The 3,672-nt window shown below is 35.2% G+C and overlaps 1 annotated feature.

Moving 5' to 3' along the window:
- Positions 2,064-3,263: an enhancer, noted in NCBI's record as "BRD4-independent group 4 enhancer chr9:107172152-107173351 (GRCh37/hg19 assembly coordinates)". NCBI's record gives its function as "activates an origin of replication core promoter dependent on BRD2, P300/CBP, MED14 and CDK7 cofactors, and independent of BRD4, by STARR-seq in HCT116 cells {active_cell/tissue: HCT116}" and the evidence as "EXISTENCE:reporter gene assay evidence [ECO:0000049][PMID:35650434]".

Raw genomic sequence — 3,672 nt, 5'->3', positions numbered from 1 at the left:
AAGATGAAGTTTTAATTGCTGTCAGTGTTTAAGACTTAGCAGGACATGGTGTCCTTTTTAGAACCAGGAGTCAAGGCCCTGTGACTTAACGTCATAAGTACTTTAAAAGAACATACAGAAAGATGCAAGGATATAATAACCTTAATTTTAAAAAAAGGTTTTTACATCTCAGTTTTTTTCCTAAGCAAACCAAAATTTAATGATAATGGCATAGGAATTATTTCAATAAAATGAAAAATCTGTTAGGCAAAAGGAAAGACCTTCTGCACTGCACAGAATATTACGTTGGAAGAAAACATTTTCTTTGGACCTTTAAGAAAACATTGTTAGCCTCAGGCCACAACAAACAGAACTTGAGGGAAAAAAACTTAGCTGAAAATGAGTTGAAGGAGAGTGCTACTATTTTGTACCCTTTAAAAGGAGAGAGAAAACTGAAAAGTGTGAGATGCAATAAAAGTTGCACTTTTATTTAAAAAAATCAGTATCTCTTATAACTTATTAAGAGTAAATCAATCCCTTAAGAAAATTTCATTGTTCTAATCAATTATTTAGTGTATGTGTTTTTTACATTAAGCTTAGCTTTAGAAAGACCACTATAATTTTCCTTTAATTAATAGACAACTGGATTATATAAAAGATTTTTTTAATAAATCCTCTTATTGTGATTTAATAAATCATCTTATTGTGACTTACACAGACCATTCATGACATGCTTGAACTTTCTGGTTTGTCCTGAACATCCCTCTTAAGCAATCAGTCATTTTATTTTAGGACTAAATCTACCATACAAGATTCTTTCTCATATGAAATTATTTCCTTTAAGCTTGCTTACCAAAAAAGAAACTATTTTAATAACTTTCTTTACATCTCTCTTATTTCCTGGTTTTTTTTTTTACCTTGTTTTATATATAACCTTTACATAAGTTTTGAATTAGACAAAAACTATTCACCTTTTTAAAAAGGAAACACTGTTTTTTTTAGAAAGAATGTTTTCCTATGAATAAATTTTTTTGGTATTTTATTGGAAAATACCCATATAATGAAATATCTATTATTTAACTCAATATAACTTTATATTCTAAGTTATGATGAGTTTGTTTACATGTATTTATCCCATTACATTTACATAATTATTTTATTTTAATCATTTACCTAGATTATTTATGAAAACTCTGATAATCATTTAAATTTATGGAAACACTATTGCAAAACTATAACTGAAACAGTGAAAAATATCTAACCTGACTCCTTCTTGCTTCTAACCTCCAAGCTGTCCTTGTTCATTCCTGGGCATAGGCAGAACTAGCTTTGGAGGAACTTAGCTTATAGTTTAGCTGTGAAACAAAGATGATAACAATCTCTTGCCAAAACAAACCTTACTGCCCGTGGACTAGACTGCCTAAAGCCACAAGATTAGAAGTTATGTTAATCTTAATAAATTCAAGATGTAGCTATTATTAGTAAACCAATGTCTTATTTATTAAAGATTATGTAAGCAAAGATCATTCTGTTTTGGGCTGGGTTTATAGTTTGGTAACCTTATGCCAAATTTTAACACCGTATAGTATTTGGCTGGGATAGTGTGAAATTGCTTAATAAATGCAAAAAATTTTATGCTGGCAATTCTTAAGACATTTCTAATAAAGCCAGCTTATGTATTATTTTACTTAAGTTAAATAAACCTGAAAAAGCATTAGACTAGCCTTTTCTTTTTTCTGATAGTGTTTGATTCAAGTGCTTTTATTTTCATAAGCCAATTAAAATGGATTTAATTGCCAATTATACATAAAATTATAGAGATTATAAAGGCCTTTTAAATACACACACACACACACACACACACACAGATCCTAGAGCTTTTACTTCAGTACTTTAGTCATGAGATAAATACAAATTCACCAGCTTACAAAAGAACCTGTTGAATCCAGTGATTTTTATCTTAATATAAAAATAACAGATTCAAAGAAGGCAGAAAAGAAAACTAGAGAAGAAAGGAACTTAGAAATTCTGTACTTTGCACGTTGACCATAGGACTCTTTTTCCTTAATATAGCCATTTTTCATAAACTCTGGCAAGTAGAGGTACCATAAAACCTACAGAGTGCTTGAAAGTGGGTTATTCTCCTTGTTTTCTCCTCATTCTTGGATTATTTGTTTCCCACTTTTTTTCTCGGAGGAACTGAGCTGTGGCCTAGGGTTTTTGTGTGCTGGATCGATGTTTGCTGCTTGTGGGTAGGACTCCACAGTGTGTCACCACTGAATCATTTCCACCTTCTTACATGTCTCAGTTTCTCTCTCCAGAGGTCTACGACCCCTGAGAGGGCTCAAAATATTGGGTGATTCACCCTTATATGTGTTTCCTGGATGAGACTTTTTTTAAAATTAATTTTTGTGGGGATTTCCCTGTGGCTCCCTGTGTCCCCAACACTCCCACAAGGCCCCTGGTTACCCAGGAGTGACTTTCAGCTGGGAGGAGCAAATGCCCTTTCTCTTCAGAGCTGAGAAACCTCATTCTCTCATTTACCTATGAAAACAATAGTTCAGTTCCTCATGCAAATGTTCACAGGCAAGCTGAATCAAGATTAATTTTGGGAGAAAAATCAATAGAGAAGACCCGTTAGAATGCATCTCTGAACTAGAATTAGGATCCTTAAACAACCACTTCCTAGGAGAGAAAAAGACAACAGCCAAGACCATTTCCTGTAAACTATGCTCTGCCACCCCTAACTCCATAGCTCTCATCTGCCATTACACATGCCAGGTCAAATCCTCTCACCGTACAAGGTAATCTCTGGTACGCCAAAGCCGAAGAGGTCAGGTCATGCAATACTGGAAAACAGAGCTTTAGACCTAAGAAGAATCGTCCCATGACTCTTGAAACTTTACAAAGAAAACAGAACACCCCAAAATGGGTGAGTCACCCTTTGTTCTGAATTCTTTTAAGGGGTTCAAGTCATTAGAAGCCTTCTCTAGATTTTTTGGTACCGCATATGGCAAAGGGGGAAGGAGGTATAGGGTGGGAGAAAAGTAAATTAAAGAACTTTTTTTTTAAGGCAGGAAGCAAACCAGAAATGAAGCATGTGGTTTTTTTTTTCCTCTTTTGCAGTTGCGAGGAATTTTAGCCAAATTACAGAGGCTTTGTTCCCATAATTTGTAATTCTCACTAAGATTTGACCAAGCCAGGTAGAGTTGGTGAAATCTGATGGGAGAAAGACCAGAACAAACAACAACAAAAAACCCAATAATGTGATCACTGAGTGTTCTAATGGTAAGGAGAAATTAAGACCAGCTGGTTGTTAAACTTTAGCCAAGACAAAACCCCAATTCAGCTACTTATGCAGGGATGGATCTCAGCCTGAAGACTGCTTTCTACCATCCCAGAAGCAGGAAAAAAGAAACCTTCAAACTCATCTTCCTGCTGGGAGCAAGCTCAAACTCCATAAAGGGAGTTCCTGCCTTCCATTGTCATAGAAATGGGAAATCTTGCCTTCCTTGTTGGAAGCAAGCAAAACCCTGGAAAAAAAGGGTGGAGGAGCAGGGAGTTGTACAGCAAAATAAACTTTAGATCTCCACCAACTTTTGGGAGGTCAGGAATTCTCTGGAGGGGGTGCTCCAAGACCTCAGCAAATTATCCTATTGGTTTTAGCCATAAAGTAAGCTCATGCTGGTACCA

Source organism: Homo sapiens, chromosome 9 (assembly GCF_000001405.40).
Source record: "Homo sapiens chromosome 9, GRCh38.p14 Primary Assembly".
NCBI classification, from domain to species: domain Eukaryota; kingdom Metazoa; phylum Chordata; class Mammalia; order Primates; family Hominidae; genus Homo; species Homo sapiens.
Note: the sequence above shows the minus strand (reverse complement) of the source record. Positions and strands in the feature narration are given on the sequence as shown.